The following is an 18,885-nucleotide window of genomic DNA, read 5'->3' as shown; positions in this document are numbered from 1 at the left end:
GTTCCCAAGTTCCTGTCCCAGCTGATTTGCAGTCTTGCCCTGGCTACCCTTTCAGTACCCACCCCTCTTTTTTCTTTTTAGCTGGCTGGAGTGGGTTCCATTCCTTCATCTGAGTGAGTTATGGATTAGAGACAAGGATCACATAACTTGCTGCTGCGTTGGTCAGGAGCTAGGCTCCTCCTGCCTCTCTCTGCCTCACCTTTCTTTCTTTTGTGAGCCCATGTCCTGAAGGGTGACTTGCAGGAAGGAGTCATTTTCCAGGGGGCGGTTCCAGAGGTGCCAGATTAGGGTCTGTGGGGGGCATAGAGAGGTCAGCATCCTCCCTCTGCCCTTCCCATCCCATGTTTCTAGGAAATGAGGAAAGACGTGGGGAACGGGCTGGCACTGCATTTCTCTAAGACTGAGGAACCTCCCTCATGTCTAATTTCCTCAGGAGATGGCGTTTGCTACCTTTCACCAAGGTGTGGGCATCCCACTCGGCTTCTGTGACTTGAACTGCAGTATCATTGGCCTGTTGGGAATTAAGGGTTTGGGGACTAGGAATGGGGTGAGGGGCAGCATGGAGTGATGGCAGATGAGAGGGAGTCATGCACAGGGAGCCTTCACTCTGCTTCAGGCTTCTAGGAACATCAAGATGGCCCAGCTGGATGGTTGATAGGCCATACCATGGTCCATCCTCGGAGTGGGGGAGAAGGGCCACGAACAGTCGTGGGCAGGTGTGGCCTTCACAGCCTTGTCGGGTCAGAGGCTGCTACTCCCAGGCCAAGATGCCCAGCCTTGAGGAAAGCCTGTGAGGTTGCACGTCCTCTCCCTAGACCTCTGAGCACCTTCCTGGACCCCACCCTTGCCCCCTTGCTGTTGGGGTTGTTATTTCCTCTTCTGGGCTTGCCCTGTTGTCTACCTCATTCCACACGGGATCATTCCCTTCCACCACACGAGTTCTTTTCTTGATATCTGCAAAGAAACCAAGAGGCTGGCATTGATGGTAGGAAATATTTCAACGTCTGGGTTGGAGTGGGGTAAAGAGAAGTAGGACACTCTAAGAAAACTTCAAGTCGGCCGGGCATGGTGGCTAACGCCTGTAATCTCAGCACTTTGGGAGGCCGAGGCAGGCAGATCACGAGGTCAGGAGATCAGGACCATCCTGGCTGACACGGTGAAACCCCATCTCTACTAAAAATACAAAAAATTAGCCGGGCGTGGTGGCGGGCGCCTGTAGTCCCAGCTACTTGGGAGGCTGAGGCAGGAGAAGGGTGTGAACCCAGGAGGCAGAGCTTGCAGTGAGCTGAGATCCCGCCACTGCACTCCAGCCTGGGTGACAGAGCAAGACTCTGTCACAAAAAAAAAAAAAAAAAAAAGAAAACTTCAAGTCAAGGCAAGTGGCAGGCACTGCCTTCAAGTCAAGGCAGGTGGCAGGTGTGATATGGCATCACTTCTTTTTTTCTTGTGTGGGTTCAACATTTCTTGATTTTATCACTGTGTGACAGATAATGCTCTATGTTCATTTCATTTTCTTTCTTTGTTTCTCTTTTTATTTTTTCTTTACTTTTCTTTTGTGTGTGTGTGTGTGAGTGTGTGTGACACAAGGTCTCACTCTATCACCCAGGCTGGAGTACAGTGGCATGATGTGGGCTCAATGCAACCTCTGTCTCCCAGGCTCAAGTCATCCTCCCACCTCCCACGTAGCTTGGACTACAGGCCACCATACCTGGCTAATTTTTGTATTTTTTGTAGAGACAGGGTTTTACCATGTCACCCAGGCTGGTCTCAAACTCCCAGACTCAAGTGATCTGCCTGCCTCGGCCTCCCAAATTGTTGGGATTACAGGCTAAAGCCACCGCGCTCGGCCCATTTCATTTTCTTCCAGAGTTTTCAGTGTCTTGCAGCTAAGCGGGGCTGTGTGACTCACTCTGGCCAATGGGATATGGGTATGATATTTGCCACTGCCAGGTCTGGTTCTTAATTTCCATGAGATTCTTCATTCTCCTCTCTCCTCTCCCCATAGCCACCCTTGTGACCTGCTAACTTTGCAGCCACAAGGGGCAAGCGGCTAGTCCCTAAACTACCATTTGTAGGAGCTACCCAGGAGAGCTGTGTGACCAGCACCATCCATGCAGGACTTGTGTAAGCAAGAGGTAAACTTTTATTGTTAACCCACTGAAAATTAAGGGTTTATTTATTGCCGGAGCAAAGCCCAGTGTACCCTAACGAAGACATCCTGAAACATCCATAATGGGTAAAAGGCCCTCCAAGCAGTGGGAAGGGGTGCAGGTTAGTGGATGGCATATGAAGGAAGAGGCTGGGAAGGACAAAAGGAATACAAAGTGTCAAACATAAACATACAATCAGAAGAATCTGTTTGTATTCAAACAGGGTTCTGAGTTTTAGGCATCTTTGTGGGAGATATTTCTGGAATGAGAAAGATGGTGCCCATGAGGTGGTGGGGAAGATGGCTCAGAATCAGAGAAGAACTGCCAGGCCCTTGCCTGGCTAACTGGAAAATTAGTCAATCAGGGCAAATACATCCTGAACTCCCACCGCCCCTCTTGAAACCTGCAGACTGAGGACATCAGCATGCATCACCCTGTGAGCCTGGAGTCCCAAATGTTCAATCTCTGAATATTGCTGTGTTCAACAAGCATAGTTTCACAGAACAACAGCATAAAATAAAGAAATTCCATTCATTACTCATATGTCCTGTAGGAACTACTGTGTCCTCTTTTCTCTTGGGCCCGGTTTTCTCCCTGCTGACGGTCCCTGTAAAACCTATTTGCCTGTATCCACCGTCCTGTATCTCCACCTACATACTTTCACCTTTTTTTCTCTTTTCTCTACACTTCTCTCTCTCTCTCTCTTTCTCTCTTTCTTTCTTTCTGACAGACTCTTGCTTTTTCGCCCAGGCCAGAGTGCAGTGGCGCTATCTTGGCTCATTGCAACCTCCGTCTCCCGGGTTCACGCCATTCTCCTGACAGCCTCCCAAGTAGCTGGGACTACAAATACCCACCATGGTGCCTAGCTAATTTTTTTTTTTTGTATTTTTAGTAGAGACGGGGTTTCACCGTGTTAGCCAGGATGGTCTCTATCTCCTGACCTCGTGATCCGCCCACCTCGGCCTCCCAAAGCGCTGGGATTACAGGTGTGAGCCACCATGCCCAGCCTCTTTCTTTTTTTTTTTTTTTTGAAGGCACCTCATCTCGATCTGTTGACCAGACTGGAGTGCTGTGGTACGATCTCCGCTCACTGCAACCTCCGCCTCCCAGGTTCAAGCGATTCTCCTGCCTCAGCCTCCCAAGTAGCTGGGATTACAGGCACCTGCCACCATGCCTGGCTAATTTTTATATTTTTAATAAAGATAGGGTTTCACCGTGTTGGCCAGGCTGGTCTTGAACTCCTGACCTCCAGTGATCTGCCTGCCTCAGCCTCCCAAAGTGCTGGGATTACAGGTGTGAGCCACCGTGCCCCGCCCTTTCACCCTTTTTTCTTTTACTTCTTTCCTTTTAGCTGCCAGATCTTTGATATCTAAATATACCTAACATCTCTCATTTTCTCTCACAAATTCTTTCTCCCCTTTCTTTCCCTTCCTTCTTGGGATTCTTTTCTCTTACCTAAAAAAAAAAAAAAAATGGAGATAATAAAACTTGCTTCATTTACCTCTGGAATTGCTGTGAGGAGCAGACATCATTGTACATATGAAAAGGCTTTGTAGGCTGGGCGCGGTGGCTCACGCCTGTAATCCCAGCACTCTGGGAGGCCGAGGCAGGTGGGTCCCCTGAGGTCAGGAGTTCAAGACCAGCCTGACCAATATGGTGAAACCCCGTCTCTATTAAAATGACAAAAATCAGCTGGGTGTGGTGGCATGTGCCTGTAGTCCCAGCTACTTCGGAGGGTGAGGCAGGAGAATTGCTTGAACCTGGGAGGCAGAGGTTGCAGTGAGCCGAGATCACACCACTGCACTGTAGCCTGGGTGACAGAGTGACAGTCTGTCTCAAAAAAAATAAAAAATAAAAAATAATAATAATGCCTTGTCAATTGTAAAGCTCATGCAAATGAAACTAATATGATCAAGCAGTTATTACTAAAAGTTGTACTAAGGGCTATACACATATTATCTTTTTAAACTCCCGCATCAATCTGAGGAAGCAGGGACTTTCTCTTTAAACCTTAGTTTATGGCACAGCTCCAGGTCATGGAAGAAGGTCCAGAAGCACTAGTCCTCTCTTTTTTCCATAGCCATTCCCTAGCAAAAGTGGGAGGCAGAGAAGTCATAATCAAATGATAGCAATAAGTTTTGAGAGAGCTGGACAACGTCTACTTCACTTTGTGTTACACAGGGCATCTTTTATGTAGTGGGGTGCCATACACCTCTTTTTTCACTGAATCCATGTTGCCTCTGGGGGCTTCTCTCTCCCATGTGGACCCAGGGAGGCTCTCACCTCTGAAGTCGATGGACATGCAGGGCCTGGGTAGTGGGGCTAGTGGTGGGTCAATCTTGGCCGACTGCACCACAAGCCGCAGCATCTCGGAGACCTACTTTCTTCCCTCCTTCCCTACGCAGCGCCACAGCTTCCTTTTTGGAGCTCCTCAGTCCAAGACTTTTCCCAGCGATCCTGGGGTGAGTGGAGCCCCACTTCCTGTCTGTTGCTAAGCAACAGACAGGCTGTCACAAAGGTGGGCGGTTCTTGGTTCTGGAGAGGAATTAATGGGAAAGAGAAGGGGGAGGAGGAACAGGGTATAGGTGACTGGGCCTGTAGAAACAAAACCACCTGGCTGCTTTCACCCCCTTTTCTTATTGCCCAGGCTGGAGTGCAATGGTGCGATCTCAGCTCACCGCAACCTCCACCTCCCTGGTTCAAGCGATTCTCCTGCCTCAGCCTCCCGAGTAGCTGAGATTACAGGCATGCGCCACCACGCCCGGCTAATTTTGTATTTTTAGTAGAGATGGGGTTTCTCCATGTTGGTCAGGCTGGTCTCGAACTCCCGACCTCAGGTGATCTGCCCACCTCGGCCTCCCAAAGTGTTGGGATTACAGGCGTGAGCCACCAAGTCTGGCCTTAAAAAATTTTTTTTTGCCCACCCCACACCTGCCCTCCTTGCCGTCCTTTTGATTTCAAGGTCAGACATAAGGTTGATGTTTTCTCCTTGTACAAGCAAGTTGTCTGGAGCCAATCATTGCCAAAGTCACACAATGTAGATGAGAAAATAAGAAAACAGTGAAGTGACCTGAGAAAAGGGATAGGAAAATCAAGGACTATTTCTGTGAGGTCTCAGGGAAAGTTCTTCCTAACGTGGAAACCTTTTTACTAAGAAAAACCTAAGTTTAGATACGAGACCCTCTTTGACAAAAGGAAATTAGCTTTTGAATTAATGAGCTCATATGGAAGGTCAAAGAAGACAATGCGGTTTTGAAGTGGCTGTCTTTATGGCTGTCTGAGCCTCTGTGCATTAAGATGGAGCTGGGGCACCTATTCTTATTGTCCACAGCAAGGCTTTTTAGGCTTTAGGGTTGAACATCGTATAAATTACATCTTATCCAATAGTTAGAATGAAAACTAATGAATATTTAAATGCTGGGATTGGTGGCTCATGCCTGTAATCCCAGCACTTTGGGAGGCCAAGGTGGACGGATCACTTGAGGCCAGAAGTTCGGGAACAGCCTGGCCAACATAGCAAAACCCCATCTCTACTAAAAATACAAAAATTAGCTGGGCGTGGTGGCACGTGCCAGCAATCCCAGCTACTTGGGAGGCTGAGGCAGGGGAATCGCTTGAACCTGGGAGGTGGAGGTCACAGTGAGCCAAGATTGCACCACTGCACTCCAACCTTGGCAACACAGCGAGACTCTGTCTCAAAAAAAAAAAAAAAAAGGCCGGGCGTGGTGGCTTACGCCTGTAGCCTGTAATCCCAGATCTTTGGGAGGTTAAGGCGGCCGGATCACGAGATCAGGAGATCAAGATCATCTTGGCCAACATGGTGAAACCCCGTCCCTACTAAAATACAAAAAATTAGCCGGGCATGGTATTGCGCGCCTGTAGTCCCAGCTACTCCGGAGCTGAGGCAGGGGAATCGCTTGAACCTGGGAGGCGGAGGTTGCAGTGAGCCGAGATCACGCCACTGCACACAAGCCTGGCCACAGAGCAAGACTGTCTCAAAAAAAAAAAAAAAAAAAAAAAAAACAATGTTTAAGAACAATCTATTAGTTAATGAAACAACTACTTAGCAGTAAGCGTACCACGCAGTCTAAGAGATGAATGGATTCAAAGACTGAAACGCTGGGTCAGTGATCAGGGTGCTGATTGCTTTCTAGTGCAGCAGATTAAAAAAAAAAGTGCTTCTTGGAAGTTTTTCTTGAAATCTAAACACAACACAGTGCTTTTCGCTTTGTGAATGGCTTTTCAAAGTAAGCGTGACACAAAAGACCCTGTAAGTGAAAAGCTGACAGATTTGACTGTATTAAATAAAAAATTCCTATGTAGAAATTATGCCTTAAAGCTAGAAGACAAATATCAAAGCAGGGAAAACATTTTCAATATACTTAATGTCCAACAGTTTATTTAATAAATGTTTATAGAGCAAGCTCTTAATAAGAAAAGGATGACTATCCCAAAGGAAAACAAAGGCAAAGCTCCTATCAGATAATTGCCCAAAATGACAAAAAAAAATTTTTTTTAAAAAACCCTCAGTCTTGTTAATAATCAAAGAAATACAATGAAATACAATTTATGACTTTGCCAAATTGGTTTCAAAAGCCAAAAAAGATGTAAAAAAAAAAAATCAAACTCACTGGGCACGGTGGCTCACGCCTGTAATCCCAGCACTTTGGGAGGCCAAGGCGGGCGGATCACGAGGTCAGGAGATCGAGACCATCCGGGCTAACACAGTGAAACCCCGTCTCTACTAAAAATACAAAAAATTATCCGAGCATGGTGGCACACGCCTGTGGTCTCAGCTACTCGGGAGGCTGAGGCAGGAGAATCGCTTGAACCAGGGAGGTGGAGGTTGCAGTGAGCCGAGATCACGCTACTGCACTCCAGCCTGGGCGACAGAGAGAGACTCTGTCTCAAAAAAACAAAAACAAAACAAAACAAAAAACTCATTAATAAGCAAATAAATGGGATAAGATACCATTTATCACCTCTTAAATTGGCAAAGAATGAAACAAAATGATAAACGTGGTGTGCTGAGGAAAGGAAGGGGCAGAGAAAAGATACAAATCTGTTTTTAGTGGGAATGGGAATATAAGTAGAGAAATAGCAGAACCCTGGCCCCAAACAAGCGCCCAGGAGACAAAGTTAAGGGTAGGGAGAGGTGGGGCAGGGGCTGCTCTATTTGTGATAATTTCTATGGCCTTAAGCTCCATATTTCTAAACAGCACTTTTAAATAGCATTCCTTGATTTTTTCAAATCTATGAGGCATTTTCCCAGTTTTATTGTTTTCCCCGGGGCTCTCCCTCCTGGTCTTCTCTTCTCCCCCAGCTGAGACTAGTGGTCCCCAGTCCTGCAGCATAGCTATTGTCCTGGGATACTCTTTGCCATCACCTTCAGAATTCCTCGTCTGCTTCTTGTGTTAGACCCTGCTTCCCCGATCCTATGCCTTCCGTCTTCTCAGTTTACCCTCTCATCTTTGTGGAACACAGCTTTGAGTGGCTTTCTGAATGTTTCGAGTGTTTGCATGTCTGTACCTATCTTTTTTTTTTTTTTGAGACAGAGTCTTGCTGTGTCGCCCAGGCTGGAGTGCAATGGCGCGATTTTGGCTCACCGCAACCTCTGCCTCCTGAGTTTGAGAGATTCTCCCACCTCAGCCTCCCGAGTAGCCGGGATTACAGGCATGCGCCACCACACCTGGCTAATTTTTGTATTTTTAGTAGAGACAGGATTTCGCTATGTTGGCCAGGCTGGTTTTGTACTCCTGAACTCGTGATCCACCCTCCTCAGCCTCCCAAAGTGCTGGGATTACAGGCGTGAGCCACCGCACCCGGCCATTTCTTTTTTTAAATAGAAACGAAGTCTCACTGTTTTGTGCAGGCTAGTCTTGAACTCTTGGGCTCAAGCAATCTTCCCACCTTGGCCTCCCAAAGTACTGGGATTATAGGCATGAGCCACAGATCCCGGGTGAGATTTATCATCTTGAACCATGTCTCTTGCTGTCTTGTCTCATGTCTCTTGATGTCATGTTGTCAGTCAGTCAACCAAATAACCAATTATTGATCAGTCAACATTTGAACAATTACCTATGTTCTGGGTGTATGTTCTCTGGAGGATACAAAGGTTAATGTCCCTGATTTTGAGGATCTACTCTCTCTACACAAAACACATAGGAAAGTTAACCACACAAAACAATCTAGGGTCAGTAACAAAATTCTTTTTTTTTTTTTTTGAGACGTAGTCTCACTCCGTCGTCCAGGCTGGAGTGCAGTGGTGCAACCATGGCTCATTGCAGCCTGGACCTCCCAGACTCAAGTGATCCTCCCACCTCAGCCTCCCGGGTAGCTGGGACTACAGGCATACACCACTATCACACACACCTAATTTCTAAAATTTTTTGTAGATACGGGGGTCTCATCATATTGGCCAGGCTCATCTCAAACTCCTGAGCTCAAGAGGTCCTCCCGCCTAGGCCTCCCAAAGCGCTGGGATTACAGGCGTGAGCCACATTAGGTAAATTCTTAATGAGTAAATTCAGGTGGCTGCCCTGGTGGAGGTGGACCGTTGGGTGCTCGACCGCCCAGAGGGCACAAAGGACCAACACGGTGGGGGTGGCGAGAACTGGGGCCGTAGAAGCCAGCCTAGTCCTCCGCCCTCGCTTTCCCTACTGAATATGCGCGAGGGGGAAACTCCAGCCTAGTTGTTGACTTTCTGCTTCGGACATGCTCGCGTGTTCTTGGCTCTCCTCTTCCGGACAGAGGCGCCGGAGCTTCATCCGTTCCGGGCTTTGCCGCTCACCGCCTCTCCCTTCCCAGGCCGTAACCCGCTTCCGCGTTTTACTCGGTGCCCGCAGCGCCGGGGCGTGGAGGCGTTAACGCGCACGCGCTTAGGGATCCGGCCGTGGCCGAGCGCGCGGCCGTAAGACCGCGGGTGAGAGCAGCGTTGGCTTCGAGGGGAGTGGCGGGCCGTGGGGATCGCGGCCGTGGTTGGGACGGCCGGGGGTCTCGGCGAGGGCTTCAGGGCTCCCGGGGCATGCGGGGGCCCGGGCTAGGGCCGGCTGCCGGTGCTGGTCGGGCGGGGCGGGTCGGGCCGGGGGCGGGCTGGCAGGGGCCGCGTCTGGGCCTCCGTGACGCGGACGCCGAGCCCTGCCCCAGGGAGCGGGAGGCGGGAGGCGGGGGCCAGGCGGCTCCTCCTCGTCGCGAACTCTGGATGACCTTGGCCAAATCGCTTCAGTTCCCCGAGCTGGCGACTTCGTCTGTAAAATGCGAGTCATAGCCCTGTCTCCTAGATGGGCCGTGTGGAGGCTCAGTGGCGGGAACGCCTGCGGGGCAGCCGGGGTCCTGGGCGGTTTGCTAGGGACGCCTCACTGGGGGTGAGGGTGAAAGGGCTTCCACGGGGATCATTTTGTCACAGGCTTTGTTGGGGGGGCAGTTTTCATTTTTATGTAAACAACTCTGGAATATTACGAAGTACTTAACAGAACTTTTGTTTCGCACAATACGAGAGGCTTGAAGAAGTGGAGCCCTAGCTGGGATTCGCTTTTTTGAGGCCGGCGTTGCCCTGCCCTTTAGGGGTGCCCACGCTCTAGCTGCGGCCCCGGCTCCCTTCGCATTGTCGTTAGAGGATGGTGTGAAGCAACAGAGATCCTTAGCTTTCAACGAATTCATATTTGTGATTTCCTGTTTGTCAAAACCCTTCCTGCCCACCTAGGAAGTGGTGCTGGCCAAGCAAGTTTACTGTCTGTCCACGCGAGGTCTTTCTGAACCTTGGGGTCGGTGAGCTCTCCCGTTAGGTAATTTCAGTTCGCTAGAGGTTGAGTATGGGACAACTCGTGGCACCATAGTTTTTTTTTTCTTTTTTTTTGGTGTTGGTGTGGGATTCCACGAACCGTCCCCACCAGAGGTCTGCCGTGAAATGGATACTCAATAGGAATGATAGTAGGTTACAAAAGTAAGCATGTTAGATGGTGTAGATTGGGAGAAATTTAGGATATTGGAATTGACCTAAACTGAAACTTTTCACTGCAGGTGACTAGCATGCAGATACCCATGCTCTGACTTTCTGCCCCTCCACTGACATGGCCCACCGGGGTGGGGAGAGGGACTTCCAGACTTCAGCTCGACGCATGGGCACCTCGCTGCTCTTCCAGCTTTCAGTGCATGAACGGGAGCTGGACCTGGTTTTTCTGGATCATAGCTATGCCAAGCCTTGGAGTGCCCACCCAGATGCCAGTAGTGCCCGCCCCACCCGCATGCTCTTTGTCACTCCCCGGCGGCAGCACGAAAGTACCATGTGAGTTGGGGCTTCTAAGGGCTGCTGGTAACCTCACTGGGCAGTGATCAGATGGGAATTTAGAGAGGATTTTCTCAGGATTGACTGGGGGAGATTGTATGAGGCATTTGGATGTTAAATTCAGGCATCTCTTAAGCAGCATAAGGATAGCAGGCTTGAATGTGGCTATCTCTGTGAGACAGCTAACAAGAGTTAGGAAAGCAAGACGTGCAAATGAAAAGCAGACAACCTATTCCACTTAGATAGTAGGACGTGTGGAAAGGGGAAAATCGTAGAGGGTTATTTAACTGGTGAAGAAAAAGACTGAAAAGTTGATTTTAAAAGATTACCCACAGGATACGACTCTTTTATCACATTAGTCCAGTGCTCTGGGTTGCTTGACAGTGGCAACAATAGCCTTTTTATAGTAATGCATTTTGCTTTTCTTGGTTTCACACACGAAGGTTAGGAGCCAATTCCCAAGACGTTGCTTTTTCTCTTCCCTTGTTACAGAGCTGCTATCCATAGGTTAATCTAAACCCTTCTTATGTCTAATGATATTTTCACCCAGCCTATGTTATAGGGTAAGGAAGTTTCATAAATTGACTACCTGATGAGTGATACAGTTACATTTGGTCTAAATAAACCTGTTTGCCAGTTCTTTTGCACTTTAAGGCATTCTAATTATGTTTCATGATGTGTTGATATATTCCGTTATGGTGATCAAATCATGTCCTTAATAATTTTGTAAACTTTTGGAGAAGAGTTTTGTCTGTTTGTTTTTAATCTGACCTAATGTTTAATCTTTCCTTAAGCACTGGTTTTAATTTTGTTGGGGGTTAGAGCCCTTGTAGAGGCTTCTTTAGAGTCACCCCTCCTGGAATTGAGACTTAATGACCTAATGAGTTAGAGATACCACAATGTGTGTGTGTGGTTTTTTTTTTTTTTGAGATGGAGTCTTGCTCTGTCGCCCAGGCTGGAGTGCAGTGGTGTGATCTTGGCTCACTGCAACCTCCACCTCCTGGGTTTGAGCGATTCTCCTGCCTCAGCCTCCTGAGTAGCTGGGACTACCGGCGTGTGCCACTGTGCCTGGCTAATTTTTGTATTTTTAGTAGAGACAGGGTTTCCACCCACCATGTTAGCCAGGCTGGTCTCGAACTCCTGACCTCAGGCAATCCACCCGCCTCGGCCTCCCAAAATGCTGGGATTACAGGCATGAGCCACCGCTCCTGACCCACTGTGTGTTTTAAACATGTGCAGAATAGTGTCTTTTATTTCATTTCCCAATGACTTTATAATTTTGTTGGCTTTTTTGGTGTACAGGAGATAAAATCTGTAACTTTAGGCAATAATTTAGCATAATCTTGATGCCTCTGGCCTAGGGCATAACTGAAAAGCTCCTTTAAATAGTAGTTGAAGTCTTTTCCTTTTTTGCTGCATATTAGCTTCTTGCTGACATTAAAACTCCTGTGTCCACATCTCATGACATTTTCTTAAAGTGAGATTCTGTGGACTTGGTTCTTTTGGTACTTAGAAAATTGTTTCCTTTTATAATCTCTGTCTCCAAATATAGACCCTGAAAGTGAGAATTTGGCATGCTGTAAGAACTCTTTTAGGCCAGTGTGGCCAGAATATAATAGCAGTAGGGGTATAAGTGGGAGGTAGGGAGAAGTTGGCAAGGGTTACCTCGTGAAGGAATTTGATTCTAAGAGTGGTAAGAAGTCACTGAAGGATCTTAAACTAGAGATTCAATTTATACTTTAAAAAGATCATTTTGGATTTTTTGTTGAGTATATTATAGTGCAGGAGTAGAACTTACAAGACCAGCTGCAGGCTGCCACTGCAATGGACTGAGATGGGCCAGAAATCGTGATATCTTGTATAGGGCAGGAACAGTACAAATGGAGAAATATAGATGACTTTGAGATGTATTTCATAGGTAGAGTGAATAGGTTAATAGGATCTGCTATGGTGAATTGGAAGGAAGAGCAAGAACCAGGGTTAAAGGGAAAGGTAAAATTAGGATGACAGATTTCTGGCTTGAGCAGTTGGGTGGTGCCATGAGTTAGGGAAGACTGGAGGAGGATAGGTTTGTGATGGTGAAATCAAGAGTTCTCTTTTAGCTACACATATCCAAGTACTAGCTCAATGTCTGGCCTGGAGAAGATAATCAGCTCTTTTGCCCACCACCAAATCTAGCTGCACATGATTTCATTTCATTTCATAATGATGTAATTATTTCAGTCATTGGAAATGGATGCAGTAAGGTCACTGAAGTCAAAAAGTTAACATAAAGTTTGGCAGGTAGCCACTAGACCAGTTTGTTTGGCATAGTATTTGGGGTGACAAAGTTGGTGCAATGTATCATAAAGTGGGGAAGGACCCTTGGGGCACTAGGATTTGTTTCTTACTTTCTTTTTTTTTTTTTTTGAGACGGAGTCTCTGTTGCCCAGGCTGGAGCGCAATGGCGCAATCTTGGCTCACTGCAACCTCTGCCTCCTGGGTTCAAGCAATTCTCCTGCCTCAGCCTCCCAAGTAGCTGGGATTATAGGCACCCGCCACCATGCCTGGCTAATATTTTTAGTAGAGACGGAGTTTCACCATGTTGGTCAGGCTCGTCTTGAACTCATGACTTTAAGCAATCCACCTGCCTCGGCCTCCCAAAGTGCTGGGATTACAGGCGTGAGCCACTATGCCCAGCTAGATCTCATTTTAAAATATGAAAGACCTTTAGATGTTCATTTATATTTGTTTCTGTTCTAGGCTCTGTACAAAATGAGCTAAGTAGCTAAGGTATGTGCATTCCAGGTCATCTGTCTTAGATAATCATACAGAAAGGAAATCATAGACTTTACAGTATATATTAAATAACTACCAGTTGACTTGCTAATGAAAGGGAAAGTTTGTATGAATTTAAAACTCTAGACCAGCACTGTTTAACAGAACTCTCTGTAATAATAGGAATGTTCTATACCTGGGATGTCCAGTGTGGTAACTGCCGCCACGTGTATCTGTTGAATGCTTGAAATGTGGCTAACGTCACTACGGAACTGAATTTTTTATTTTTTTATTTTTTTGAGACGGAGTCTTGCTCTGTCACCCAGGCTGGAGTGCAGTGGTGCAATCTTGGCTCATGGTAACCTCCGCCTCCCGGATTCAAGCAATTCTCCTGCTGCAGTCTCCCAAGTAGCTGGGACTATAGGTGCACGCTGCCACACCCAGCTAATTTTTTGTGTTTAGTAGAGACGAGGTTTCACCATGTTGCCCAGGCTGGTTGCAAACTCCTGAGCTCAGGCAATCCGCATGCCTCTGCCTCCCAGAGTGCTGGGATTACCGGCATGAGCCACCATGTCCGGCCTTTTTTTTTTTTTTTGAGACAGAGTCTCGCTCTGTTGCCCAGGCTGGGGTGCAGTGGTGTGATCTCGGCTCACTGCAACCTCCGTCTCCCGGGTTCACGCCATTCTCCTGCCTCAGCCTCCTGAGTAGCTGGGACTACAGGCACGTGCCACCACACCCTAATTTTTGTTTTTTTTAAGTAGAGATGGGGTTTTACCATGTTGGCCAAGCTGGTCTCGAACTCGTGACCTAAGGTGATCCACCCGCCTTGGCCTCCCAAAATGTTGGGTTTACAGGCGCGAGCCACTACGCCCAGCCTGAATATTTAATTCTATTTAAATTTTTTTTTTTTGGGCCGAGGTCTCTGTCACCCAGACTGAAGTACAGTGGTGCAATTTTGGCTCACTGCAACGTCCGCCTCCCAGGCTCAGTTGATCTCCCACCTCAGCCTCCCATGTAGCTGGGACCACAAGCTAATTTCTGTATTTTCAGTAGAGACGGGGTTTCACCATGTTGCCCACACTGTTGAACTTGTGGGCTCAAGTGTTCTGCCCACCTTGGCCTCCCAAAGTGCTGGGATTACAAGCCTGAGCCCTTGTGAGCCCTTGTGCCCAGTAATTTTTTTTTTTTTTTTTTTTTTGAGATGGAGTCTCGCTCTGTCTCCCAGTCTGGAGTGCAGTGGCGCAATCTCGGCTCACTGCAAGCTCCGCCTCCTGGGTTCACACCGTTCTCCTTCCTCAGTGTCCTGAGTAGCTGGGACTACAGATGCCTGCTACCATGGCTGGCTAAATTTTTGTATTTTTAGTAGAGACGGGGTTTCTCCATGTTAGCCAGGATAGTCTCGATCTGACCTCGTGATCCACCTGCCTCAATTTAAGTAGTCGTGTGTGGCTTATACCTACTGTATTGAACAGTATCTAGGCAATCAACTTGTTAGCCACTTTTCTCCATTTGTACTGTTCTTGTCCCTAAACGAGCTCTCATGATTTCTGGCCCATCTCAGTCAACTGCAGTGGCTGCCTAGCTGGTCTTCTAAATTCCACTCCTGAGCTGTAGCCTACTAAACAAAAATTGAAAGTGATCTTTTAAAAATATTAGCTTGAGCCAAATCAACTTGCTTATGGAATATATTGTCCTTTTTTTTGAGACTGGGTCTTGCCGTGTCACCCAGACTGGAGTGCAGTGGCATGATCAGAGCTGACTGTAGCCTCAACCTCCTGGGCTCAAGCAAGCCATCCTCCCACTTCAGTTTCTGGGACTGCAGGCGCATACCACCATGCCTGGCTAATTTTTGTGTTTGTTTTAGAGACGGGGTTTTGCCATATTGCCAAACTGGTCTTGAACTTCTGGGCTTAAACAATCCTCCTTCAGCCTTCCAAAGTACTGGGATTACAAGTATGAATCACTGTGCCTGGCTATATTTGTCATTTATTTATTTATTTTTTGAGACCAGCTCACTCCTGGGCTTAAGTGATCCTCCTGCTTCAGCCTCCCAAGTGCTGGGATTACAGGTGTGAATCACTGTGTCTGGCTGTATTTGTCATTTATTTATTTATTTTTGAGACCAGGTCTTGCTCTGTCACCCAGGCTGGAGTGCAGTGATGCAATCATGGCTCACTGCAGCCTTGACTTCCCGGGTTCCAGCAGTCCTCCCACCTTAGCCTCCTTAGTAGCTGGGATCACAGGTGTGTGCCACATGCCCAGCTAATTTTTGTATTTTTGGTAGAGACAGGGTTTCCTCATGTTGCCCAGGCTGGTCTTGAACTCCTGAGTTCAAGCAATCCACCTGCCTCGGCTTCCCAAAGTGGTGGTATTACAGGTGTGAGCCAGTGCACCTGGCCCATATTTATCTTAAAAAAAAAATAGATGTTTATCATTTTTTATATAGACTCATTGAAAAAATGACTTTGTGTTCTTCCAGTACATACCATCATGTCTGAGAGGGCAGAGATCTAGACAAGTGTGGGAAAGATGACTTTGGATCAAAATTTTCTTGTGAATATAATGTGCTTATGCGTAATTTAAAGCTGACTGTATTAAAGATACATTTTTTGTCAACCAGATGATTGTTAAATACCTGTGAAGTATGTGTGGCCCGGTCCTATTTCCTCACCTGTTTACAGTGAATCAGACGTCCCAATAGATGTGGAGACGGTCACATCAACGCCTATGCCACTCTATGACAATCAGAAGGCACGCAGCGTGATGAATGAGTGTGAACGGCATGTCATCTTTGCCAGGACTGATGCAGATGCCCCTCCTCCACCAGAGGACTGGGAGGAGCATGTCAACAGGTAGGCTGCTCATCAGGAGGATGATCACTGCCCTGTAATTATTTTGTATCATCTTCATTGAAATAACACTTATTAGGACCTTATTTCATTTGCAGCAACACAAGTCAGAGTGTTCTCCAAAGTCTCACATTATAACTCTCAGTTCACCATGCTGTGTGTGAGCTCCTTGAGAGTAGGGCTTACATCTCAGCCATCTTTGCATACTTCACACTAGGACGTTGTCTGGCACACAGTAGGCATATAATGTTTGTTGAATAAATAAGTGAATTAAATTTGATACATATGACTAGCTCTGTAGTAGCTTCTGTTGTATAAGTTATGATATAGGGGTTACCCAAACTGCAAAAAAATGAAATGTACATTTGTAAGATATTGTGTTTAAATGGTTTATAACTAGGATGATGGAAGTTGTGAAGTCACATGAAAAGCTAACAGATGTTTGAGTGGCTTTTAAAAATAGATTTGCAGGCTATGGAGGGCACACTGAAGCCTATTTTCACGAGTATACTGGCTAGTTTTGTTCCCAAGCTTTCTACTGCCCCCAGGGGACTCAGCACTCCTCTCCTGGTTATTTGTCCCTGTTCATTTGGTAAACATTTACCTAATTACATAACAGCTTTTTGGGGATATTATTTACATACCATACAATTCAGCTATTTAATATGTACAGTCATTGGTTTTTAGTATAGTCAGAGTTGTATATTCATCACCACTATCAATTTGATAAACATTTTCATCATCCTAAAAAGAAACCTCTTACCCATAAACAGTTACTTCCCGTTTCCTCCCAGCTTCTCTGGTCCCTAGGAAGCACTAATTGACTTTTGTCTTTATAGATTTGCCTATTCTGGACATTTCATATAAATGGAATCATGCAATATGTGGTCTTTTCCTACTGGCTTCTTTCACCCAGCATGATGTTTTCAAGGTTTATCCATGTGGTTGCGTGTATCAGCACTTCATGCTTTTTATTGCCAAATGACATTACATTGTATGGATAGCCCACATTTTATTTATTCATTAATCAGTTGATAGATATTTAGATTGTTTTCATTTTTTGGCAATTGTGAATAATGCTATTATGAACATTTGCATACAAGTTTTTGTGTGGATCTAAGTTTTTAATTCTCTTAGTTATATACCTGGGAGTGGACTTGTTGGGTCATATGATAACTCTGTATTTAACCTTTGAGGAATTGCCAGACTGTTTTCCAAAGTGGCTGTACCATTTTACATTCCTACCAGCAGTGTATGAGAGTTCTAGTTTCTCCATATCCTTGCCAACACTTACTGATTTTCTTCTTTTTTAAAAAAATTATAACCATTCTACTGCGTGTAAAGTGGCATCTCATTGTGGTTTCAACTTATATTTTGTTGATGGCTTTTTGTCTGTGTATCCATATATCTACTATATATATAAGGAAATGTTACTTCTTATATCAGGAGTTGGTAGGTGGTAACTTTCCATAATTTTGGAGAACCCTTATTTTATAATAGAGAGAAAGAGGGGTAGAAAGTTTGAGGTGATTGACATGACTTCTGAAGCTGGTTGGAAGTTGGGAATGAGATTGAACAGGTGTGCTTGTGTGATCAAAACAGCAGCTGTTGAGGGAGGAGCAGTTCTGCACCTTGGTTGAAAAAGCTTGTGAAGAAGTTGGTTGGGGTCTTGCATTGGAATTAATTTAGTGCCTTAAGAAGCTCTTTTCTCACGCCTGTAATCCCAGTACTTTGGGAGGTTGAGGCGGGTGGATCACCTGAGGTCGGGAGTTCAAGACCAGCCTGACCAACATGGAGAAACTCTGTCTCTGCTAAAAATACAAAATTAGCTGGGTGTGGTGGCGCATGCCTGTAATCCCAGCTACTCGGGAGGCTGAGGCAGGAGAATCACTTGAACCTGGGAGGCGGAGGTTGTGGTGAGCCGAGATCGTGCCATTGCACTCCAGTCTGGGCACCAAGAGTGAAACACCATCTCAAAAAAAGAAAAAAAAGCTCTTTTGAGCTTCAGATAAAGAAGAAAACTGCTACGAATGAAGATCAACTACTGGAATATTGCTAGAGTCAGTATATTCAGCAAAAGGATTTATCACTATTTTTACAGTTAATAATAAAAAATAACGACGATGGTAATAACAAAAAGGAGCTACCGTTTGTTGAGTGCTTTCTAGGTGCCAGACATTGTATCAATGTCTCTTCAAATGCATTGTCTCTTAATCCTCCCAATGACTCTTGGAGGTATATCCCCCCTTCATCTCTGCTCAACAGGATGAAGAAACTGAGCTCAGGGTGTTTAAGAAACCTTAATTAGGAAGTGATGGAGAAGGATTTTGTTCAAACCAAGCAGCCTGACTCCAGAACCCAGTGTTCTCAACTACCATACCCTCTGCCTTAATTAAGGGCAGTAAGAAGAGATTAAGACCAGTTAGTGGTGGCTGAACAAGGTGGCCTGGTATGGTTATGTATCCCTTTGTGGTATTTTCTACTACCTTGTCCTTTGCAATTTCAGAAAGTACATAGGAGAACTGTGTGATTTTTTTTTTTTTTGTCAGTTTATCCATGGTTATGATTAAGAGGTTTTTGTGGACAATTCATACTTATCAAAGTCATTAGAGACTTAATAATACTATAAATACCAGTTTGTTTCTTTTTTCTTTTTTTTGAGACAGGGTCTCACTCTGTCACCCAGACTGCAGTGCAGTGGCACGATCTCAGCTCACTACAAGCCTTGACCTCCAGGACTCAGGTGATTCTCCCGGGTGGGAACCTTAACCTCCCAAGTAGCTGGGACTACAGGAGTACGTCACCATTTCTTAATTTTTGTAGTTTTTGTAGAGATTGGGTTTCA

The 18,885-nt window shown here is 46.1% G+C and overlaps 2 protein-coding genes across 70 annotated transcripts in view, besides 2 other annotated features; one reads left to right on the top strand and one right to left on the bottom strand.

Annotated features, from left to right (window-relative positions):
- The window catches only part of FER1L5 (fer-1 like family member 5), a 62,120-nt gene extending 57,529 nt beyond the window's left edge, over positions 1-4,591 (bottom strand). For 16 of the 17 annotated variants that reach the window (XM_011512110.3, XM_011512122.3, NM_001293083.2 and 13 more), the window contains exons 1-3: positions 4,434-4,591; positions 902-954; positions 200-291 (exon numbers count right to left, since the gene is read on the bottom strand). In XM_011512110.3, the coding sequence (XP_011510412.1) occupies positions 200-291; positions 902-954; positions 4,434-4,518 (230 nt within the window). In that variant the 5' untranslated portion in view covers positions 4,519-4,591. The remainder of the gene's footprint in view (positions 1-199; positions 292-901; positions 955-4,433) is intronic. The other variant, XM_011512120.3, reaches the window with a different exon arrangement.
- KANSL3 (KAT8 regulatory NSL complex subunit 3) overlaps positions 9,043-18,885 on the top strand; it is a 57,819-nt gene continuing 47,976 nt past the window's right edge. For 30 of the 53 annotated variants that reach the window (NR_047656.2, NR_146100.2, NR_146101.2 and 27 more), the window contains exons 1-3: positions 9,043-9,072; positions 10,170-10,434; positions 15,873-16,043. Coding sequence is in view for 37 of the 53 variants with exons in the window: in XM_047445030.1 (XP_047300986.1) it covers positions 10,220-10,434; positions 15,873-16,043 (386 nt within the window). In the remaining 16 variants the exon portion in view is untranslated. Of the gene's footprint in view, positions 9,096-9,363; positions 9,515-10,006; positions 10,435-15,811; positions 16,044-18,885 lie in introns of those variants that run through there. The other 23 variants (NR_047658.2, XM_047445021.1, XM_047445013.1 and 20 more) reach the window with 9 other exon arrangements.
- Positions 9,114-9,323: a silencer, noted in NCBI's record as "silent region_11773". NCBI's record gives its function as "represses an Ori minimal core promoter by ATAC-STARR-seq in GM12878 lymphoblastoid cells {active_cell/tissue: GM12878}" and the evidence as "EXISTENCE:reporter gene assay evidence [ECO:0000049][PMID:35858748]".
- Positions 11,274-11,383: an enhancer, noted in NCBI's record as "active region_16223". NCBI's record gives its function as "activates an Ori minimal core promoter by ATAC-STARR-seq in GM12878 lymphoblastoid cells {active_cell/tissue: GM12878}" and the evidence as "EXISTENCE:reporter gene assay evidence [ECO:0000049][PMID:35858748]".

The sequence above is a fragment of the Homo sapiens genome, chromosome 2 (genome assembly GCF_000001405.40).
Source record: "Homo sapiens chromosome 2, GRCh38.p14 Primary Assembly".
NCBI classification, from domain to species: domain Eukaryota; kingdom Metazoa; phylum Chordata; class Mammalia; order Primates; family Hominidae; genus Homo; species Homo sapiens.
This window is presented reverse-complemented; position numbering and strand designations above follow the sequence as displayed.